Source organism: Homo sapiens, chromosome 1 (genome assembly GCF_000001405.40).
Source record: "Homo sapiens chromosome 1, GRCh38.p14 Primary Assembly".
Taxonomy (NCBI): Eukaryota; Metazoa; Chordata; class Mammalia; order Primates; family Hominidae; genus Homo; species Homo sapiens.
Window position 1 is genome coordinate 77880481 of NC_000001.11, and position 24342 is coordinate 77904822.

The 24342-nt window shown below is 41.2% G+C and overlaps 1 protein-coding gene and 1 long non-coding RNA gene across 8 annotated transcripts in view, besides 2 other annotated features; one reads left to right on the top strand and one right to left on the bottom strand.

The window, feature by feature from the left end:
• Nucleotides 1-867: 867 nt before the first annotated feature.
• NEXN-AS1 (NEXN antisense RNA 1) lies at nt 868-9059 on the bottom strand. The gene is made up of 3 exons (NR_103535.1): nt 8988-9059; nt 7120-8788; nt 868-1418 (listed from the first exon to the last, which is right to left on the bottom strand). It is a non-coding gene; the product is annotated as an NEXN antisense RNA 1 (long non-coding RNA).
• Nucleotides 8089-8148: an enhancer, noted in NCBI's record as "active region_1222". NCBI's record gives its function as "activates an Ori minimal core promoter by ATAC-STARR-seq in GM12878 lymphoblastoid cells {active_cell/tissue: GM12878}" and the evidence as "EXISTENCE:reporter gene assay evidence [ECO:0000049][PMID:35858748]".
• The window catches only part of NEXN (nexilin F-actin binding protein), a 55272-nt gene continuing 39073 nt past the window's right edge, over nt 8144-24342 (top strand). For all 7 annotated transcript variants that reach the window (NM_144573.4, XM_005271322.5, XM_005271325.5 and 4 more), the window contains exon 1: nt 8144-8279. The gene's annotated coding sequence lies outside the window, so the exon portion shown is untranslated. The remainder of the gene's footprint in view (nt 8280-24342) is intronic.
• Nucleotides 8389-8528: a silencer, noted in NCBI's record as "silent region_1005". NCBI's record gives its function as "represses an Ori minimal core promoter by ATAC-STARR-seq in GM12878 lymphoblastoid cells {active_cell/tissue: GM12878}" and the evidence as "EXISTENCE:reporter gene assay evidence [ECO:0000049][PMID:35858748]".

The window sequence follows — 24342 nt, forward strand, 5'->3', positions numbered from 1 at the left end:
GTGAGCTGAGATCACGCCACTGCACTCCAGCCTGGGCAACAGAGTGAGACTCAGTCTCAAAACCAAAAAACAAAAGGGTTCAGATATATTTAGTCAAGGAGAGGGGTGCCACCTGGATACCACCATAGTCACCAGATGGAAGTCACCTGGATATGAAAACAGATTCTTAGTTTGAGACTTTTAACAAATGGGTTTATTTTAGAATAATTATATATGATATAGATAAATATAGTTATATTTTTAGAATTATTAAACATATAAAGTGAAATATATTGATAAGAAAACCATATAAACATGAATAGAATCTTTCCTTAGCTAGGATACAGGGTTGGAGTGCAATGGGAAACTAGAGCAGCATCTCATTCTCATTTTCTGTTTTGTCATTATCTGCCATACTCTGTTGTCTCATGCATCTTCTTTGATCCTGAACTTAATGTTCAGGATCTGAACTTAATGTTTTGCACTTTAAACATCTGTCTCTGAATTCTTATGTATATTTAAAATGCTTCTCTGCAAACATCTTAGTGCCCTATTGTTAGACTTTATAGGGCTTTGCTGGAAATCTTTATAAATCACTTTGTTAATCTTTCTAAACTAACTGTTCTTATGCTGCTTTTGACTTCTGGTTTTTTCTGCAGTGTTTCTTCCTATGCCCTGTATTCTCTGATACTTTATCCTGCCACTTCTTCTCCCTTGATCTCTTTCTCTTCTTACGCTACTGACATCTTTGATCAGGCTACACAAACTCTTCTGTCTGCTAAGGTTCTTTCTTTGGCTTTTTCTATATCTGAACAGTGAAAACTCTACAGTAACCATCATCTGGGCAGGGAAGGACTGTATTCTACTACAGAGAAGAAAAACAGCCTTCCTTCTATGACACTTTTTATTCTTTACTTAAAAGCCACAGCAAAGCAACTGGTACATCAAATATGTCTTTTATGTGTGTCACAGAAGCCTTTCACAAAGTACATTTATATTTAGGAAATTACAGAACTTTTATAATTTGCTATGTTTGAAATGATACCATAGTACTTGAATATAGAGAAGCACTTTGAATTAGAAAGCACTTGAAATATATGACTTTCTGAACTTTGCTAATTCTTATTTAATAATAACTCTGTGTGAGAATGGTCCCAGGGGCCAGGTGCGGTGGCTCACGGCGTGTAATCCCAGCACTTTGGGAGGCTGAGGCGGGTGGATTGCCTGAGCTCAGAAGTTCGCGACCAGCCTGGGCAACACAGTGAAACCCCACCTCCACTAAAATACAAAAAATGAGCCGGGCGTGGCATTGCGTGCCTGTAGTCCCAGCTACTCGGGAGGCTGAGGCAGGAGAATTGCTTGAACCTGGGAGGCAGAGGTTGCAGTGAGCTGAGATCACGCCATTGCACTCCAGCCTGGGCAACAGAGCGAGAATCCATCTTTAAAAAAAAAAAGAAAGAAAAAGAATGGCCCCAGGAGTTTTACAAAGGACCAATAAAATAATGTGGTAGAAGATGAAGATGGATAATAAATGTTAAAGCAATTATATTCACAATCTGTTACAACAAATTATCCTAAAATTTTAGCAGCTCGAAACAACAAACATGATCTTACACAGTTTCTGAGGGCTGGGAATTCAGGAATGGCTTAGTCTGGTGGTTCTCTCCTGAAGTTGCAGTCATCTGAAGGCCTGATTGGGGCTGGAAGACTCACTTCTAAGGTTTTCTCATTCACATGTCTGTTTTCAGGAGGCCTCAGTCCCTTGCCATTGGCAAGAGACCTTAGTTCCTACCAACTAGACCTCTCAGCTGCCTGAGTGTCTTTTAAGACATGACAGCTGGCCAGCATGTCTTTTAAGGCATGAGCATGGTGGCTCATGCCTGTAATCCCAGCGCTTTGGGAGGCTGAGGCAGGAGGAATGTTTGTTTGAGCCTGTAAGTGTGAAACCAGCCTGGCCACAAAATGAGACCCTGTCTCTACAGAAAAAAAAAAAAAAAAAAGACGTGGCAGCTGGCTTCCTCCCAGATAAATAATCCAAGAAATAGCAAGGTAAAAGACACAATGTCTTTTATAACCTAGATGTGGAAGTGTTGCCACTTCTGCCATTGGTAACACAGACCAACACTGACACAATGTGGGAGGGGATTACACAGGATGCGAGTACCAAGAGGTGGAACATTTGGGGTTGTCTTGGTGGCTGGATACCATGGCAGGGAATCATAATAAATTATACATAATGATGTAGACAAATTACTTTTTTTTTTTTTTTTTTTTTTTTTTTAGGAGATAAGGTTTTTCTCTCTCCCTTACCCAGGCTGGAGTGCAGTGGTTCTCACTGCAACTTCTAACTCCTGGGCTCAAGTGATTCTTCTGCCTCAGCCTCCTGAGTAGCTGGGGCTACAGCCACATGCCACCACACCTGGATTATTTTTATTGTTTAGTAGAGAGGAAGTCTTGGTATGTTTCCCAGGCTGGTCTTGAACTCCTGTCCTCAAGTGATCCTCCCACCTCAGCCTCCCAAAGTTCTGGGATTACAGGCTTGAGCTACCATGCCTGGTTGACATTTTAATGTTAAATGAATGAATGTACTTTCTTTGGCCAATCTTTTGATATAGTATCAAGGCCTTTAGTTGGGAGTATGGATTCACTCGATATTTCAAGATATCTTTGTTACATAAACTAAACCGCTAAATCAGTGGTCTCCAACCTTTTTGGCACCAGGGGCCAGTTTTGGGGAAGACAATTTTTCCATGGACGGTTCGGGGGTGGCTGTGGTGGATAGTTTTGGGATGAAACTGGTCCATCACAGATCATCAGGGATTAGATTCTCCTAAGGAGTGCACAACCTAGATCCCTTACATGCACAGTTCATAATAGGGTTTGCGCTCCTATGAGAATCTAATGCCATCGTTGATCTGACAGGAGGCAGAGCTCAGGTGGTAATGCTCACTCGCCAGTCCTCACCTCCTGCTGTGCAGCCTGGGGTTTGGGGGCCCCTGCCCTAAATCATCATCTGGAATTTCGAGTTTTCCTTACTTTTAAAGGAGAGAAAAGGTACATTAAAAAGCACTGACTGCAGAATCTCCCTAGATTTGTACAATTTTGTACCCAATCTTTTACATTTGTCTTCTCCACACCTAGCTTGGTGGTAATTTTTGTAAGCTATTTGCCTTTATCAAGTCTTTTCAAAGCATTCAACTCAGCTTTTATAAAAAACTATAACTTTATTTTTGCTTTTATAATTTCTTTCTTTATTTTTTTTTTTGGCACGATCTGGGCTCACTGCAGCCTCCGCCTCCTGGGTTCAAGCGATTCTCCTGCCTCAGCCTCCTGAGTAGCTGGGATTACAGGCACGTACCACCATGCCCGGCTAATTTTTGTATTTTTAGTAGACGGGGTTTCGCCATCATGGCCAGGCTGGTCTCGAACTCCTGACCTCAGGTGATCTGCCTACCTTGGCCTCCCACAGCACTGGGCTTACAGGTGTGAGCCACCATGTCTGGCCTATAATTTCATTTTTTAAATGTTTACTTTGTATAATTTCAAAACCGTGCAACTGACATAGAACAAACCTAATCACTCGTGATAAGTATACAAGTAATGCTTATACAAATGGGCAGATCTTGGATTTTTAGTAATCTCAAACTTAGCATGTCAAAACTGAGCTCCTTACCACCCCTGCCTAAACCTCCTCTTCCCACAACCTTCCCTATCTGAGTAAATTACAACTCCATTCTTCCAGATCAAAGGCCCAAAACCTCCTTTCCTCACACCTCACATTCAGTTACAAAAAAAAAAAAAAAAAAAATCCTACCATTTCTACCTAAAAAGGCAACAAGGAAAAAAAAATATGCCAGGTATTTCTCACTACCTTCACAACTATCACTTTGGCCCAAATCCCCATTCCTCATTCCGATTATTGTGGAAGCCTCCTAATTAATTGATCTCCCTGCTTCTTCTCTTGCCTCATTTGGTGTATGTGCAGCACTTAAGCTAGAGAGAGTAAACATGTCAGATCATGTCACTATGTTGTTCAAAACCTACCAGAGACCACCCATGTTAGAGTAAAAACCAAAATCTTTACAATGCTGTACAAAAAGAGGCTGGGCACAATGGCTCATGCCTATTATCCCTACTCTCTGGGAGGCCGAAGTGGGAGGATGCTTAAGCCCAGGAGTTTGAGACCAACCCAGGCAACATAATAAGACCCCATTTCTACAAAAACTAAAAAATTAGCCAGGTGTGTTGTTGCATGCCTGTAGTCCCAGCTACTCAGAGAAGCTGTGGCAGGAGGATCGCTTGAGCCCAGAAGTTAGAGGCTGCGGTGAGCTGTGATTCCACCACTGCACTCCAGCCTGGGTCTCTAAAAAAAAAAAAAAAGGCCAGGCATGTTGGTTTACGCCTGTAATCCCAACACTTTAGGAGGCCGAGGTAGACGGATCACCTGAGGTCAGGAGTTTGAGACCAGCCTGGCCAATATGGTGAAACCCCATCTCTACTAAAAATACAGAAATTAGCCGGGCATGGTGACAGGTGCCTGTAATCCCAGCTACTCGGGAGTCTGAGGGAAGAGAATCGCTTGAACCCAGGAGGCGGAGGTTGCAGTGAGCAGAGTTTATGCTACTGCACTCCAGCCTGGGCGACAGAGCGAGACTTATTCTCAAACAAACAAAATCCTACGTAGTCTTGTCTCCTGCTCCCCACTGCACCTCCTATTACCTCACCCTTCACCTACTCAGCTTCACTCGCACAAGCCTCCTGGTTCTTCCTAGAACATGTCAGATAGAATCCTTCTCTGGGCCTTTGTATCTATCCCTGGACCACTCTTCCTCCAAATATTTGCTTCTCCAGATATTTACATAGCCTACTGCCTCACTCTCCTCAAGGCTTTTACTCATATGAGGCTTTCCTTAGCCACTCTATCTAAAATTACAACATCTACTCAGCCTGCCTCCAGCATTCTCTACTTCCCTGCTCTGGTATTATCCATATTGCCATATTACATGTCACTAAATACTACATAGTTCACTTATTTGCTTATTGTCTGCCTTCTTTCACTAGAATGTATGTTCCATAATGGCAGGGATTTTTCCTTTATCACTGCTGTATCCTTAGCATATAGAACTGAATATCTGTTGAATGAATGAATGATGAATTGGTGGGAAAATAAGCAGGCCTTGCATGCTGTGAGTAGCTATCAGTGTTCTACAGAGAGAATGGAGAGCTTTGTTTAATCTGGTGAATCTATTGGGTGGATATAAAAATAAAAAATTGTTAAGTTTCTAGTTATTTATTTATTTATTATTTTTTGAGACAGAGTCTCACTCTGTCGCCCAGACTGGAGTGCAGTGGCATGATCTCGGCTCACTGCAACCTCCACCTCCTGGTTTCAAGCAATTCTCCTGCCTCAGCCTCCCGAGTAGCTGGGACTACAGGTGCACGCTACCACACTCAGCTAATTTTTATATTTTTAGTAGAGACAGGATTTCGCCATGTTGGCCAGGCTGGTCTCGAACTCCTGACCTCAAGTGATCCACCCGCTTCAGCCTCCCAAAGTGCTGGGATTACAGGCGTGAGACACCATGCTCAGCCAACTCACTTCTTTAAATCACAGAAATAAATATGTAATTATAAATTGATATGTATAGGGGCAGGGCACAGTGGCTCACACCTGTAATCCCAGCACTTTGCGAGGCCGAGGTGGGTGGATCACTTGAGGGCAGGAGTTCAAGACCAGCCTGGCCAACATGGTGAAACCCCATCTCCACTAAAAATACAAAAAGTAGCCAGGTGTGGTGGCACGCGCCTGTAATCCCAGCTACTTTTGAGTCAGGAGAATCGATTGAACTGGGGAAGCGGAGGTTGCAGTGAGCTGAGATCGTGCCACTGCACTCCAGCCTGGGCGACGGAGCGAGACTACATCTCCAAATAAATAAATAAATAAATAAATAAATAAATAAATAAATAAGCAAATAAATAGGAATATATATATATAGGGAAGAGAAAGGTGGGATGAAAGGTGAGGTGCAAGGTGGGGAGAAAGGTGGGATGCAAGGAAGCCTTCTCCGAGGAAGCAGCATTTAAGAAGAGATCGGGAGGATATGTTGAAGTTAGGTGAAGGGGAAAGTGGGAGAAAGGATTTCATGCAGGGAACAACTTATACAAAGGCCCTGCAGCCAGACTGCCCATAGAAAGTTTCATGAACTGAAGAAGGCCAAGGTGATGGCATCAAAGAGAGCAAGGGCACAAGCAAGACTACCAAGACCACCTATCACTATCCGTAGTTCGGTACATTTAAATAATTTTAATTACCAATTTTGAACTTTTCTGTAATCGAGGAATGAATGGCTTACCCTCCTTAGAAAAGTTTCCATCCTGAGTAAATACTGTGGGGATGGGACTGGGGAACAGAGTTATATTTGAGTAGAAGGCCTTTTGTGTGTACGGGTGTGAGAGAGAGAGAAACAGAGAGAGAGAGGGAGTTTCACTCTTGTTGCTCACGCTGGAGTGCAATGGCGCCATCTCAGCTCACAGCAACCTCAGCCTCCCGGGTTCAAGCGAAGTGGGTTCTTCAACCTCAGCCTCCCAGGTAGCTGGGATCACAGGCGCACGTCACCACGCCCGGCTAATTTTTTGCATTTTTAGTAGAGATAGAGTTTCACCATGTTGGCCAGGCTGGTCGCAAACTCCTGACCTCAGGTGATCCACCCGCCTTGGCCTCCCAAAGTGCTGGGATTACAGGCAGGAGCCACCGCGCCCGGCCTTTTTTTTTTTTTTTGGAGACAGAGTCTCATTTTGTCACCCAGACTGGAGTGCAGTGGGATGATCTCTGCTCACTGCAACCTCCGCCTCCTGGCTTCAAGTGATTCTCCTGCCTCAGCCTCCTGAGTAACTCAGATTACAGGTGTGTGCCTCCACACTAGGCTAATTTTTTGTATTTTTAGTAAAGACGGCCTTTTGCCATGTTGGTCAGGCTGGTCTTGAATTCCTGACCTCAAGTGATCCACCCGCCTCGGCCTCCCAAAGTGCGGGGATCACAGGCATGAGCCACCGCGCCCAGCCCAGAAGGCCTTTTCAACATCCCTGAAATATAACCTGAGCACCGCTGTCTGCTTAGGGCCTGAAGGTGGAAGTGGTTACCTTTATTCTTTATCTGGATGTCATTTCGATTTTTTTTTCAAGTGCAGTGAAGAATTAAAGATCTCGTCCACCAAAAATACTCCGAGTGTGCATTTCGGGTTTTAATATGGTATTGTCTGATGGGTTTGACAGGCTGGCGGTCCAAGTTGAAAAAGGTCTGTGGGTGTCTAATAGTCAAAGATGCCTTTATGAAGCTTTAGAAAGACCAGATATGGTTTGCCTTCAATTAAGAAAAAGGTGGAATATAAAGATATTTGTACTTATATAAATATATTCCTTCTTTTCTTCTCCTCCTCCTCCTCTGCCTTCAACTTTCTTCTTCTTCTTCTTCTTCTTCTTCTTCTTCTTCTTCTTCTTCTTCTTCTTCTTCTTCTTCTTCTTCTTCTTCTTCTTCTTCTTCTTCTTCTTCTTTTTTAACTCTCCTTTTAGAGTTAAAGACTGGAGCTAAGAACAGGGGAGCAATAGACAGATGAAGTGTTCCCGGATTGCTGCCCCACGCTCTTTGTAATAAAGGAAAACTTGGCCAAAGGTCAATGCTTAGGGTAGTAGAAGATATGTAGTGGCTTGGCTTCTTGACTGGAAACTAGGACGGGTAGAGTAGCTGAGAGAAGTGGGCCCCAGAGCAAACTGGTTGCGGGTAGGGGGAGCCAGCTTCAGCCCGGTAATGAAGCCCATTTCAGCCTCATTCCTTTCCCATGGCGGAGGCAGCCTTCCTTCCCCAGGCCTGGCTGGAGGTGGAGGCAGGCCCAAAGTTAGGGGGTCAGCTCGCGCACCTAGGGCCGGGAGACAGACAAATTCTGGCGGAAAGTTGGCAGCCACGGTCCCCCTCCCCTGCTTTTCTCCTCAACTCTCCACCCCCACTCCGGGTGATAACGGCGGAGGTGGGGGGTTGGGGGAACTGGCCTTGTGTTTTGGAACAGCTGCAGCCGGCGCTGGGCCCGCCTGGAATGCGGGAACAGGCTGCACACCAGGACTTTTATGGAAACTTGCTGCTGGAGACGGCGGCGGCGGCGGCGGCAGCGGCAGCCAGAGGACTCCCAGCGGCTGGAGCAGAAGTGTTAGCGGCCAGAGCTCCCAGACCCCTACCCACAGCCAGGCGGGACGCGCACAGTCCCTCCACGCGGAAAGAAGTACCTTCGCCGGTCACCGGCTCCTGCAGGGTGAGAAGAGTTGGGGGAACGTGGGCTGGGGGGAGTGGAGACGGAGGTGTCGGGTCCCCTGGTGGGGGCGGGGGCGGGAACGGCGGCTGCAGAGAGGCGCTCGGGGTCTGCGGCTTCTGGCCGTGCTCCGCTGCAGCTCCGGAGGGCGCCGGGCGCCATACAGCTGTGGTCCGCGCTGGCCCCGGCCCGGGCGAACCCTGCCTTGGAGCCGCATCCTGCGGGCTCGGCGGGGTGCCTACCAGGGGCTGCCCCAGGGTCTGAAAGTGTCGGCCGGCCTTGGGCTTCTGGTTGCAATGTCTTTGCCCTGCTCCCCTGCGCCTTGTCGGCTGAGTTTCGGGTGCGTTCCCTACTGTAGGGAGGGAGCCCTCTGTGAGCGGAGTGGGTGCCGATCCCTCGGCTGAACCCTTGGGGTCCTTAGGGAAGTTCAGTGCCGTCCCCCACCACTTGCCCCAGCCGCGGTCTCCGTCTCTGCCAGCAGTGCCAGTTAAGAAATCCTTTCTGATCGGTCTCTGTGGAAGATGGGGAGAAATATGATTTAACAGCCTATTACTCCCCCCCCACACCCCCGCATATCCCCCCACTCCTGTCTCCAACCCTTTTTTTTTTTTTTTTCGTGATTCTGCCCGAGGTGGGATGCTGGGGGTTGAGCAACTAGGGCTGGAAGTTTACGAAGTTTACGTAGTTTAAGTGAGTGAAGAATGTAGTCACCTCTTGAGAACTCCCTTTGCCTATATGCTTTTGAAAACGCCAAACCATTCCAGCTGTTTGTAAATTGTGAAACGTTCTACAAATGCATTAGCATTGGCATTTATAAAGAAAATGACGAAGTTGAGAGGTTATAGTTGGTTACTGCAGTGACTTAGAGATGCTCATTTTATAGTTATTAAAGCACAACGTGAACCAAGTTGGCAGAGAGATAACAAGGTAAAAATAGCATAAGGATATGTCCTAACAAAATGTCCTTGGTGAAGACACAGGTAGAGAAAAGAAGCCATAATAAAGAAATTAGTTCCCTGACCAAAACAACGGGAATATCATTCATCGTTAAATTTTGTTAATGAATTCATGTAGCAGCGGCCCATTGGCCTTCGAGTCACAACATAACTATGTCTTAGGTAATGTGATTAAATAAACTTAAGTATTTATACTTAAGTTCATATCTTAGTCACACGTTATTTATATCTTAGTCACACGTTATTGAGTGGACCACATAATTTCCCCCGCTAAACATTATCCTTTACAGGTTAAACTGCTGCAGTTAGAAAACTTTGTCTCAAATTCTTTTGAGTTTGGGGTATTGTTAAGAAAAAATGCATAATTAATCAAATGAGAGAAAGGTTTTTTGGGGGGAGGTATAATTTGTATAAGTAAACTTTGATTAACCAATGTAGCTGTTTAAGTTTCTTCTTCCTTACAATTAACACCGTATTTTTGCAGATATTTTATATTTTGACTAATGCTTCTGAGGAACAATTTAAAGAAAAATGCATGCAATTATGTAGTTTATCTGCAATTCCCTTAAAGAATTCTAAGCTAAAACCACAACAAAATTATTTTAAATCCAGTTTTCCTCATCATAGTTACAATGTAATCCAGTTTTAATAAAAGATTCATATTTTAAAATCCATTTTCAATTGAAATGTAATGAATAGCAATTGTTCCTGCTCACCTTAAAATGGAATTTGTGCTATTTTTGAAAATTTGACATGTAAGGCTGATCATTGTCAAAATGTATGTCATCTTGAGATGACTATATTTAGCATCAACAAAGGAATGCATTATCTAGGTTTTTGAACAGTCTTTTTCCCCTGAAATTTCACTTGAAGTATTTAGGTTAGGGTTTCATTTTTGAGCAGAATAAAAACTAAATATGCATATTTGGAAGACATTAATTGGGGATTCAGATTGCTTAGAATCTGAGCGGCCTATAATGACATACTTCATTTATTAAAAAAAATACCTGTTATCTTTGAAATACCCTAAAAGACAAAAAAAAGGGGGATTATTTAAATATGAGAGTTGTGCACACCTAAAAGAAAGAAAATAATGCAGTGAATGTGGAAAAGTATGTAACAGACAGGTAAAAGTCTAAACGTTTTTATAGAAGAGAGGACTGTTATTTTATAGTTATGTAGGCCACACACACACAGAACATCTTGGTAGTTTATAATTTGGAGAGAAAATGATTTATAACATTCTTAACAATTTCACATATTTCTGTTCTTATTTAATCAATCTGCGGTCCATATCACCTGTGTAGTTTCTTTCATGTTCTCTTTCTGGGTTTATAATTGCATAGTTACATATTATATACATTTGAAATGGCTACATTTTCCTTTATTATTTAAATATTCAGTGTATAGTTTGGCTTAATTTATAGTAGTTTACTTTCTATACTCCAGGGTGGGTGGATTTGTACCCAGAAATCCACCTTAAATTTTAGTTTAATTTGTATTATAATGTTAATACACCATGTTATATTTATGGTTAAAAATTATGGAGAATGGAAAAAGGGGCTCTTGTAATCTGACACTCTTACTGTTAGGATTTTGATGTATTTCCTTTAAGTCTTTTTCCCATGCATAGAACTCTTTCTTTTTGCATTGACATATCTCAATAAAACAACATGTGAAAGCATCCCATGCAGTGTCTGCCATCCAGTAAGTGCTCAACAGGTGATTCTTTTTCTTCCTCCTTTATTTCCTTCTTGACATCTCTTCCTTTTTACTCTTAGATTAGAAGACAAGCAGATTGGGGCTCCCTATATGAGGTTTCAAGGTTGGTGAAATTCACTTCTCACCGTCCATCCTGGGCCTCTTCCCTGTCTTTTCTTCCCCTTCACTCTTTCTGGCCAAAATAGGCCTCCCCTTTGACCCTTTCCATTTTGTCAGTGTTGTCTATTCATTTAGACTAAGGCTATGGCAGTCAAAAAGTCGACAGTCAAAAAGACACCTTTTACTTCCTGATTACCAAGTGTGGAAAAAAAGTAAAAAAAAAAAAAAAAAAAAAAATCAAAAACAAAAAAGACACTTTTGGGGCTGGGTGTGGTGGCTCATGCCTGTAATCCAAGCACTTTGGGAGGCTGAGGCGAGAGGATCCCTTGAGCCCAGGAGTTCAGGACCAGGCCTGGCAACATAGTGAGACCCACCCCCATCTCTACAAAAAATTTAAAAATTAGCCAGATGTGGTGGTGCATGCCTGTAGTCCCAACTACCTGGGAGGCCGAGGCAGGAGGATTGCTTGAGCTCAGGAGGCTGAGGCTGCAGTGCACCGTGCTTGTACCACTGCACTCCAGCCTAAGCAACAGAGTGAGGCTCTGTGTCAAAAAAAAAAAAGACACTTTTAGCCACAGACATACTTAAAAATTGGTACATTTTACATTAAAATATCGATTTACGTCCTCTCTTAAAAATTGGAAAATCTGGGCAAAATCTGGGTTCACTTTTTTAAAGAAATTATTTTTATTTCAGTAGCTTTAGGGGTACCAAGTGGTTTTTGGTTACATGGATGAATTGTAAAATGGTGAAGTCTGTCTGGGTTTTTAGTGTACCTGTCACCCAAATAGTGTACATTGTACCCAAAGGTTAACATTTTTGCACAGGAACAATATACTGGAACTAAATAGTGGCTGCCCCACAGACAGGCAGGTCACATGCTCTGCATTTGACATAGTCTCTGAGATTCCCTATTGTTTTAAACAAGTCATACACTCATTTACATTACCTGTCAATTATATTACATAACATTACCTTACATTACATTTACATTACCTGACCCTGAATACTTGAGTATGCAGTCCCCGATCTAAGTATTAGGGCAAGTATATCTGATGCATCATATGATGGAAAGTCTGCTGTACTTAGCAACAGGAACTGGGACTTTAAACATTGTAGATATATTTTGGTTAGCAAACCTCTTAAATAATGTGATCATGGGAGTGGGAGAAGAGATTAGCATTCATTGACACTAATTGTTAGTGTCGATTAGAGCTGGAAGGGACCATATATTGCTAACCAAAACAAATAAAATACTTTCCCTGGTGGGATTTTAGAAAGCATGGGGAAGATATTTCTGCTAAGGAAGTATTTCCTAGGATCTTGTAAATAATCTTTTTTTTTTTTTTTTGAGACGGAGTCTTGCTTTGTCACCCAGGCTAGAGTGCAGTGGCATGATCTTGGCTCACTGCAGCCTCTATCTCCTGGGCTCAAGTGATCCTCCTACCTCAGCCTCCTGAGTAGCTAGGACTACAGACATGCACCACCATGCCTGGCTGATTTTTTAATTTTTTGTAGAGATAGAGCCTCACTATGTTGCCTAGGCTTGTCTCAAACTCATGGTCTCAAGCAATCCTCTTGTCTCGGCCTCCCAAAGTGCTGGGATTACAGGTGTGAGCCACTATGCCTGGCCTCCTTAAAAATTCTACTCCCTGTCCATTTGAGAAGTGTTTAGGAGAGTTTTTGTGACTCCTACAGCTTGGCTATAAAGAGGAGTTTACTGTTTTTCTTTTGCCTCCCCATTCCACTGACATGTTTGGAGCCAGAGATCCAGGTCTTCCTATTCCCAGCTGTGTCCTTCAATGAAAGATCATCTTCCGCTTGCAGAGATGGTGAGGAGGCCCAGACTCCAGTGATTACCACATCAATTTGCTTGGGAACAGAACTCCTGAAGCCTCAGGTTTCTGGTTGTTCATGGTATTTAGTTTAGCATAAATTCACCCCATTTTATTTTTTATTATTTTAGTTAGTGCATCTAGATCATCAGTCTTCCTTTTGTAGATAAGAATCATGTGTCTTATTTGGGATGATTTTGGATCAGACAGTTTTCCTGTTATCTCTTTGTCATTCATTCACTAGCTCAAATACGAATAGAGCTTGTACTATGTCCTAGGTGTTGTGCGAAACACTAAAACTATAGAGAGGAATAGAGCAGTTCTTACCTTTCAGGGGCTCATAGTTTGGTGGATATACTTCGAAAAGTATCACATACTGTCATATAAGGGCAAAGTGTTATTTATACTTATTGCGGAAGGATATCAAGGCAGGTTGAAAGATTCAAAAGATTCTTGATTTTCTTTCTTTCTTTTTTTTTTTTTAGACAGAATTTTGCTCTTTTGCCCAGGCTGAAGTGGCACCATCTCGTCTTAGTGCAATCTCCACCCCCTGGGTTCAAGTGATTCTCTTGCCTCAGCCTCCCGAGTAGCTGGGATTATAGCCATTCGCCACCACGCCTGGCTAATTTGTATTTTTAGTAGAGATGGGGTTTCACCATGCTGGCCAGGCTGGTCTCGAACTCCTGACCTCGTGATCTGCCCACGTTGGCCTCCCAAAGTGCTAGGGTTACAAGCATGCGCCACCGCACCTGGCCTTTTTGTATTTTTAGTAGAGACGAGATTTCACCATGTTGGCCAGGCTGGTCTCGAACTCCTGACCTCAGGTGATCCACCTGCCTCGGCCTCCCAAAGTGCTAGGATTACAGGTGTGAGCCACTGCACCTGGCATAAGATTCTTGGTTTTCGGTGAGGAATTGTGTATTGGTAGGAGGGAAATAGATCACTACTTCGTATAGGTGAAATAGGATCTAATTTCATATTTTTGAATTGCAATGAGGTTTATGACAGGTTTTATAGTATCATTTTTACTTCATTATTATTTTTTGGACATTTTATAGTATCATTTTTATTTCATTATTATTATTTTTTGGAGACAGGGTCTCGATCTTTCACCCAGGCTAGAGTGCAGTGGCGTGATCAGGGTTCACTGCAGTCTCTATGTCCCAGCTTCAAGCAGTCCTCCCGCCTCAGCCTTCCGAGTAGCTGGGACTACATGTGTGCACCACCACACCTGGCTAATTTTTCTGTTTTTTGTAGAGATGGGGTTTTACCATGTTGCCCAGGCCTCACCCTCCTAAAGTGCTGGGATTACAGGCATGAACCAATGCACCCAGCCTATAGTATACTTTTTTTTCCTTTTTTTTAGAGATGGAGTCTTGCTCTGTAGCCCAGGCTGGAGTGCAGTGGCCTGATCCCGGCTAACTGCAACCTCCACCTCCCGGGTTCTAGCAATTCTCCTGCCTCAGCCTACCAAGTAGCTGGGACTACAGGCGCACACCACCATGCCTGGCTAATTTTTTGTATTTTAGTAGAGATGGAGTTTCACCATGTTGGCCAGGCTGGTCTCGAACTCCTTAGCTCGGGCAATCCACCTGCCTCAGCCTCCCAAAGTGCTAGGATTACAGGCGTGAGCCACCATCCATGGCCAGCCTATAGTGTAATTTTTTTTTTTTTTTTTTTTTTTTTTTTTTTTTGAGATGGAGTCTCATTCTGTTGCCTAGGCTGGAGTGCAGTGGCACAATCTCAGCTCACTGCAAACTCCGCCTCCCAGATTCACACCATTCTCCTGCCTCAGCCTCCCGAGTAGCTGGGACTACAGGCACCCGCCACCATGATTGGCTAATTTTTTTGTATTTTTAGTAGAGATGGGGTTTCGCCGTGTTAGCCAGGATGGTCTCGATCTCCTGACCTCTTGATCCGCCCGCCTTGGCCTCTGAAAGTGCTGGGATTACAGGCATGAGCCACCGCGCCCGGTCACCTATAGTGTAATTTTTAAAGTATAAGGTTGCAACCTTCATTAATTAAATGCAATAAAGTTACATTATACCTAAGTTTATGTTTCCTGTACAAGTGAAAAATGATAAAAATTTAGGCTCATATTTTATGAAGCTCAAAACAATTTTGTTGCTTGTTCCAAAGACTGTAAGAATTAGGTTTCAACATTTACTTGTAGCATATAGTTAAGTATTACGTTTAAAATCTTCTTAAAAGTTGGCTGGGCACTGTGGCTCACGCCTGTAATTCCAGCACTTTGGGGGTGCAAGGCAGGCGGATCTCTTGAGGCCAGGAGTTAGAGATCAGTCTGGTCAACATGGTGAAACCCCATCTCTGCTAAAAAATACAAAAATTAGCCGGGTGTGGTAGTGCACACCTGTAATCCCAGCTACTTAGGAGGCTGAGGCATGAGAATCACTTGAACCTGGGAGGTGGAGGTTGCAGTGAGCTGAGATAGTGCCATTGCACTCCAGCCTGGGCGACAGAGCAAGACTCCATCTCAAAAAAGAAATCTTAAAAGTTGACAGCCTGGTTGGGCACAGTGGCTCACATCTGTAATCCCAGCACTTTGGTAGGCTTAGGTGAGCAGATCACTTGAGGTCAGGAGTTGGAGACCAGCTTGGCCAACATGGTGAAACCCTGTCTGTACTAAAAAAAATTAGCCAGGTGTGGTTGCATGTGCCTGTAATCCCAGCTATTCGGGAGGCTGAGGCAGGAGAATTGCTTGAACCCAGGAGGCAAAGGTTGCAGTGAGCAGAAATGACACCACTGCTCTCCAGCTTGGGTGACACAGTGAGACTTTGTCTCAATAAATAAATAAATAAATAAATAAATAAGTTGTCGGCCAAGCACAGTGACTCAGAAACTGAGCTCATTTTCTGACTTAAACATGCCTTTTAATTTAATCTCCAGTTAATGGTAACCCTGTTCACCCATTTGCTCAAACTAGAAACCTTGGGTTCATCCTTTTTTATTTACTTGTTTGTTTGTTTATTTCTCATCCTCTGACTCTTGCTTGGGTTCATTCTTGACAATATTCCTCTCCTCACCTCTACCCCTCCAAATCAAATTGGCCAAACCTCTTGCAATTGTGCCCCACTACAGTGTAAGTTCCATCAAGAAGGCTGGGCATGGTGGCTCACACCTGTAATCCCAGCACTTTGGGAGCCCGAGGCGGGTGGAGCTCAGGAGTTCAAGGCCAGCCTGGCCAATATGGTGAAACCCCATCCCTACTAAAAATACAAAAATTAGCTGAGTGTGGTGGCAGACAGTTGTAATCCCAGCTACTCGGGAGGCTGAGGCACAGAACTGCTTGAACCTGGGAGGCAGAGGTTGCAGTGAGCTGAGATTGCACCACTGCACTCCAGCCTGGGTGACAGAGCAAGACTCTGTCTAATTAAAAAAAAAAAAATTTAGAAAAGAGAGAAGAATCAAATAGATGCAATAAAAAATGATAAAGGGGATATCACCACCGATCCCACAGAAATACAAACTACCATCAGAGAATACTACAAACACCTCTACGCAAATAAACTAGAAAATCTAGAAGAAATGGATAAATTCCTCAACACATACACCCTCCCAAGACTAAACCAGGAAGAAGTTGAATCTCTGAATAGACCAATAACAGGCTCTGAAGTTGTGGCAATAATCAATAGCTTACCAACCAAAAAAAGTCCAGGACCAGATGGATTCACAGCCGAATTCTACCGAGGTACAAAGAAGAGCTGGTACCATTCCTTCTGAAACTATTCCAATCAATAGGAAAAGAGGGACTCCTCTCTAACTCATTTTATGAGGCCAGCATCATCCTGATACCAAAGCCTGGCAGAGACACAACCAAAAAAGAGAATTTTAGACCAATATCCTTGATGAACATTGATGCAAAAATCCTCAATAAAATACTGGCAAACTGAATCCAGCAGCACATCAAAAAGCTTATCCACCATGATCAAGTGGGCTTCATCCCTGGGATGTGAGGCTGGTTCAATATACGCAAATCAATAAATGTAATCCAGCATATAAACAGAACCAAAGACAAAAACCACATGATTATTTCAATAGATGCAGAAAAGGCCTTTGACAAAATTCAACAATGCTTCATGCTAAAAACTCTCAATAAATTAGGTATTGATGGGATGTATCTCAAAATAATAAGAGCTATCTATGACAAACCCACAGCCAATATCATACTGAATGGACAAAAACTGGAAGCATTCCCTTTGAAAACTGGCACAAGACAGGGATGCCCTCTCTCACCACTCCTATTCAACATAGTGTTGGAAGTTCTGGCCAGGGCAATTAGGCAGGAGAAGGAAATAAAGGGTATTCAATTAGGAAAAGAGAAAGTCAAATTGTCCCTGTTTGCAGATGACATGATTGTATATGTAGAAAACCCCACTGTCTCAGCCCAAAATCTCCTTAAGCTGATAAGCAACTTCAGCAAAGTCTCAGGATACAAAATCAATGTGCAAAAATCACAAGCATTCTTATACACCAATAACAGACAAACAGAGAGCCAAATCATGAGTGAACTCCCATTCACAATTGCTTCAAAGAGAATAAAATACCTAGGAATCCAACTTACAAGGGAAGTGAAGGACCTCTTCAAGGAGAACTACAAACCACTGCTCAATGAAATAAAAGAGGATACAAACAAATGGAAGAACATTCCATGCTCATGCATAGGAAGAATCAATATCATGAAAATGGCCATACTGCCCAAGGTAATTTATAGATTCAATGCCATCCCCATCAAGCTACCAATGACTTTCTTCACGGAATTGGAAAAAACTACTTTAAAGTTCATATGGAACCAAAAAAGAACCCGCATCACCAAGCCAATCCTAAGCCAAAAGAACAAAGCTGGAGGCATCACGCTACCTGACTTCAAACTATACTACAAGGCTACAGTAACCAAAACAGCACGGTACTGGTACCAAAACAGAGATATAGATCAATGGAACAGGACAGAGCCCTCAGAAATAATGCCACATATCTACAACTATCTGATCTTTGACAAACCTGAGAAAAACAAGCAATGGGGAAAGGATTCCCTATTTAATAAATGGTGCTGGGAAAACTGGCTAGCCATATGTAGAAAGCTGAAACTGGATCCCTTCCTTATACCTTGTAGAAAAATTAATTCAAGATGGATTAAATACTTAAATGTTAGACCTAAAAGCATAAAAACCCTAGAAGAAAACCTAGGCAATACCATTCAGGACACAGGCATGGGCAAGGACTTCATGTCTAAAACACCAAAAGCAATGGCAACAAAAGCCAAAATTGACAAATGGAATCTAATTAAACTAAAGAGCTTCTGCACAGAAAAAGAAACTACCATCAGAGTGAATAGGCAACCTACAAAATGGGAGAAAATTTTCGCAACCTACTCATCTGACAAAGGGCTAATATCCAGAATCTACAATGAACTCAAACAAATTTACAAGAAAAAAACAACCCCATCAAAAAGTGGGCAAAGGTTATGAACAGACACTTCTCAAAAGAAGACATTTATGCAGCCAAAAAACACATGAAAAAATGCTCATCATCACTGGCCATCAGAGAAATGAAAATCAAAACCACAATGAGATACCATCTCACACCAGTTAGAATGGCGATCATTAATAAGTCAGGAAATAACAGGTGCTGGAGAGGAGGTGGAGAAATAGGAACACTTTTACACTGTTGGTGGGACTGTAAACTAGTTCAACTATTGTGGAAGTCAGTGTGGTGATTCCTCAGGGATCTAGAACTAGAAATACCATTTGACCCAGCCATCCCATTACTGGGTATATACCCAAAGGACTATAAATCATGCTGCTATAAAGACACATGCACACGTATGTTTATTGCGACACTATTCACAATAGCAAAGACTTGGAACCAACCCAAATGTCCAACAATGATAGACTGGATTAAGAAAATGTGGCACATATACACCATGGAATACTATGCAGCCATAAAAAATGATGAGTTCATGTCCTTTGTAGGGACATGGATGAAACTGGAAACCATCATTCTCAGCAAACTATCGCAAGGACAAAAAACCAAACACCGCATGTTCTCACTCATAGGTGGGAATTGAACAATGAGAACACATGGACACAGAAAGGGGAACATCACACTCCGGGGACGGTTGCGGGATGCGGGGAGAGGGGAGGGATAGCATTTGGAGATATACCTAATGCTAAATGACGAGTTAATGGGTGCAGCACACCAACATGGCACATGTATACATATGTAACAAACTTGCACATTGTGCACATTAAAACTTAAAATATAATAATAATAAAATAAAAAAATAAAAAATAAAAAAACAAAAAACAAACAAAAAAATTTAATCAAGACAGGGACTTTGACTTTTTGTTCCCTTTCATCTCCCCAAGCTTAGGATAGCGCCTGACACAAAGTAGGAGCGTAAGAAATATTTGTTAAATAAATAATGAGTCACCATGTCCTGTCAATTCCACTTCCAAAATGTCTCTTCCAGCTTTTCATTCCTAATGCTAATGTCCTAATTCAGGCCCTTATCTTCTCTTACCAAGGTCATTGTACTTGTCCTCCTTCCACTAGTCTTTCCCCATTAAACTCCATTCTCTACATTGCTATGAGTTTCTTTTTCTTTTCTTTCTAGGATACATCTTTCAGTCATGCTCGTTTGCTGGCTCTCTATTGCCTATAGTATTATTAGGTAATATCTGAACTTTTTATTAATATGGTGCACAGTATTCATTCTAGTCTGTGCCCAGCCTGTCCTTCTAGTTTTGCCATAGACTGACTGGACAATTTTATAGCTCCCCAGATTTGCAATGGGTCACCAGGCATTGGTATTTTTGTTCATTCTGGTTCTTTTTCCTGGATGCCTTTACAATCTTTTCCACTTTGTGAAATTCTACTTATCTGTCAAGGTCTAACTCAAATGTCATTGTCTCCGTGAAACCTTCTTTAACCCAGCCTCTTCCTTAACCATACCATAGTCTTTTCCATGTTTCTATAGCCTGGTTATAATACTGGTATTATAGCATTTACTACATCATATAATAATTAGTACATCTATTTCTGTCACCAAAGCTATTTGATTCACAAGGGCTAGCTCTTATTTGTTTCGTATCCCATTGCCAGGCATACTTTTTGGCATACAGCAGATTCTCCTTTTCACAAAAATAATGTATTGTAAATACAGACCTCATCTGTCAAATTTGAAAAAATGCAGCTTTTTTGATAAATTGTGTATGGGTTATACTAATATTGCAATATTACCTCTGAAACCTGCGGTGGATACATATTCGTCTTCATTTAACATGAATGCTTAATGTGTTAGAATGCCATTACTAAATCTCTTTATCATCCCAGCCTTCTCTATTATGACCAAACTCTTAGAACCACCTGTTCCATCTTATCTTTTGATCACTGGTTTCTTTCTAATCGTATTCTTGATAACGATTCAATTGACTTGCCTGGGATTTTAGATACATAGGTGTAATGGAGCTGAATTGTTGGGTTGCTGCTGCCCCTTTAAGGTGGCCAAGGACATTGCATCTGCCTACTCAAACAAGAAAAATCACTTAACGCTAGAAGAAGAAAAGCCTGTTAAGATTCCAGATACAAAGTCTCTTGGCATTCAGGTCACTGAGTATAGGAATTAAGTTGTTAAGCCAATCTCCATTTAGCATTCTAAAATACATTTCTAGAATGAGAACTTGATATGACTCAATTAGGATGTTTTTCCTGTAACTCAGCAAATCTCAAAATGTGGTCTTAGAACCCCTGGGAGTCCTCAGTACCATTTAGGGGTCCATAAAGTCCTTCCTTTTCCAACTACATATTAGTATAAGGTCATATTTTCTTAGAGACTTCAATCAAAACAACATCACCGTAGTTTGAATGCAGAAGCAGATATGAGAATGTATTTTTCCTCTATTAAGCCAGATACCAGAGATTAGCAAAAATGTAAAATTATTTTCCTCTTCTTACTAATTATTTTTATGTTTATAAATAATGGTTTGTTATTGTTACTTTAAATGACTTTATAAGTACATATTAGAATATTTTGTTTTAATTTCTAATATATTAAAGACCTATTGTTATTATCCATATAAACAAAACCTCTATTATAACCAAACTCTTAGAACCACATGTTCAACCTTATCTTTTGGTCACTGTTTTCTCTCTCATCTTATTCTTCATAAGAATTCAATGGACTTGCCGGGGATCTTAGATACTTACAAGGTGCAATGGAGCCGAATTGTTGTGTTGTGGCTGCCCCTTTAAGGTGGCCAAGAACCACCTTAGGATCCTCAATAATGGGCCCAGACTTTAGGTCCTGAGCCCCAAAAGTTTGAGACCCACTTTATAATACATAGCCTTTCTTTTTGTGGGGGGATTTTCTTTAACATCACAGATCTTATTATTTTATTTAGAGATGGTGTCTCACTATGTTGCCCAAACCAGATTCAAACTCCTGGGATCAAACGATCTTTCTACCTCAGTCCTCGCTAACTAAGCTGGGACTACAGGAATGCACCCAGCTAAAGCTAATTTTTATGTGTGTTTACACACTTTCAGATGTTACCTAAATAAAGCCTTTTCTAATCTAAAAATGTAAGCCTTATTATATTTTTGATAGTTATATTTTATCTCATCTAGACCATAAACTCCATAACAGATATTTTATCCTATTCGTTATTATTTATGTAGTAGCCTATATACTGTACCTAGCACATTATAGAAAAATGTTCAATAAATGTTTCTTGAAAAAACATCAATGTTCACTAATTTATCTTTTTCTGTTTATTCTTAGTTCTGTCATACTCATCACTCTAAATTTATAAAGCATATGAAAATCACCTAGTTTATGGTACACAATAGGTATTCAATTTGTTATTTTCTCCTCCTTTATTTGGTTTAGAGGTTTCAGAACTTTCCTTTAACGTACTGCAGTTTTAAAAAAATCCTTAAATTTTATTTGTACATGTAACTTTTCATTACTTTATTAATGACTTCATCAAATGAAAGTTTACCAATTTTCTTTGAGTGGTTAAAGTTTTCCCAAAAGAGAATAAAAGGCAAGAATTATAGGTTTTGATTCTGTTCATATTCTGAGAGGATAGGAGGATGTACTACATAGAGCCTAGGATATGGTGAGTACAGGTAGAATATTATTTAAAACATCTATAAAGATGTGTTATGCTGAAATAGGTGTTGCACAAAATAAATGAAACAGACTTTGTATTGCCTAATACAGTGGAAAAAGCTGATAATTGTTGAAGCTTGATATGGGTGTATGGGGGTTCATTGTATTAGTCTCTTTCAGTTTGTATGCCTGAAATTTTCCATAATAAAAAAGTAAACAAAAAAGATAGATTAGACTGATATGTCTGAGATGTTTACCAATATAAAAATGTTTAAAGTTTATGCCAGATACACCTAGAAATCTAAGCATATTTAGAGGTCTCAGAGACTGAAGGAGAAAAAACAACCATGTTTAAGATGAAGTGGAGAAAAATCACCATTTCCATTATAATTAGTTTGGGAAAATACCTCCTTGGTAAAGAAGTGACTTAAGAAAGGTCTTGGAGGTAGAAAAAGGCTACTAAATAGATTTGTCTAGCTGGAAGGTTGAAAAAATGGAGAGAAGACAAAGGAAACTGAAGAGTCTGAGGGTCTGCAGAAGGCCTGTCAAGCCCAGGTGAGAATTTTAGTTCTGATCCATGATGCACTACACAGTTAACATCCTCAGAGTTAGAGTGATACACTAGAGCACAGAGAGGTAGAGATGGCAGTAGTTGAGTAGAGAACCTAGTGGGCCTGGTTGAGGGCAGAAAGAATGGTGGGCTGTTATCCTATCATAAGAAATGAAAAAAAAAAAAGAGAGAAATCAGAACAATCATGGCTAGAAGTTCTTCTGGAACTTTTAAAACCTATTTTTTTTACCAATAATGTATACTTAAATTATTATTCTATTCTAATACAATATGTATCAGTTAAGAGTTCTGAAGAAACTACATTAAAGTAGCTGCCCTATAGCAACTGAAGTTAACTATGTCATTACACTTGGATTCCGGCACCTATTGAAAAGATTGAATAATTTGAAAATGTTTATCAGGATTCCGAAGAAAAGAAAACCAGTAAAGTGAATACTTTGAATTTTATAGCTTCTCATTTTGTAAGTTTATTAATGAAAATTATAGTGATACATATGAAGACTAAATAGAAATAATTTCTGGCAAGCATAATTATATGAAATTGAAGGAGCAGCTGGGGCCTTTTGCTAAATAAAGCAGCAAAATTAAGTTTATAGACTGGTAACTGAAATGTTGACTATTAATATATATAAGCACGAAACTGGGAAGACTGACAAGCCATGGGCAATATGATGAAACCCTGTTTCTACAAAAAATACAGAAATTAGCTGTGTGTGATGGTGTGTGCCTGTAGTTTCAGCTACTCAGGAGGCTGAGGTGGGAGGATTGCTTGAGCCCAGGAGGTCGAAGCTACTGTGAGCTGTGATTGCACCACTTCTCTCCAGCCTGGGCGACAGAGTGAGATCCTGTCAAGAAAGAAAGGAAGTGGGAGGAGATGATAAAATAAGTCAAAGATTAAATTGATATTTGAAATTTTTAGTTTTTATTTTTATTTTTTTGTGACAGAGTCTTACTCTGTCACCCAAGCTGGAATGCAGTGGTGCAATCCTGGCTCACTGCGACCTCTGCCTCCCAGGTTCAAGGGATTCTCCTGCCTCAGCCTTCCTAGTAGCTGACATAACAGGTATCTGGCACCACACCCAGCTAATTTTTGTATTTTTAGTAGGGATGGTGTTTCACCATGTTGGCCAGGCTGGTCTCAAACTCCTGACCTCAAGTGATCCGCCCGCCTTAGCCTCCCAAAATGCTGGGATTACAGGCATGAGCCACTGTTCCTGGTGATATTTGGAATTTTTTAAAAAACCACCTTATTAACATATGATTGACATACCAAAAGCTGTATATATTTAATGTATGATATTTGGCATTTGAGAATATGTTTCTAAAAGACTAATAATCTGCTATAAATGTTCAACAGAAGACTTCTTTAAAATATAGTATAGACAGTTTGTTAAGAGAATGAAAAGTTGAATCAAAGGAACAGAGGATCTTTCAAACTTGCTAGTTTTTGCGTGAATATTGAAAAGCTTTATGTGATAGCTTTTGGGGGTTATTTTAAATTATAATTTAATTGAACAAGATACTGGAAAGCAACTGATCCCCTGCAATCTGGGAAGGGAGCGTAGAGTCTACCATGCGTACAGAGGAAAATCAGGGAGTAAGAGAAGTGCAAAATATGGACTGAGAATGGAAATCATTGATCTTAGTCATCTAACTGGAAGTTGGGGAATAGTGTATACTGCCTTTCAATTCTATAGTAGGCATGGTTGATGTTAGAACCTTACCTGTGTTTGCAAATAGCAAATCAGGC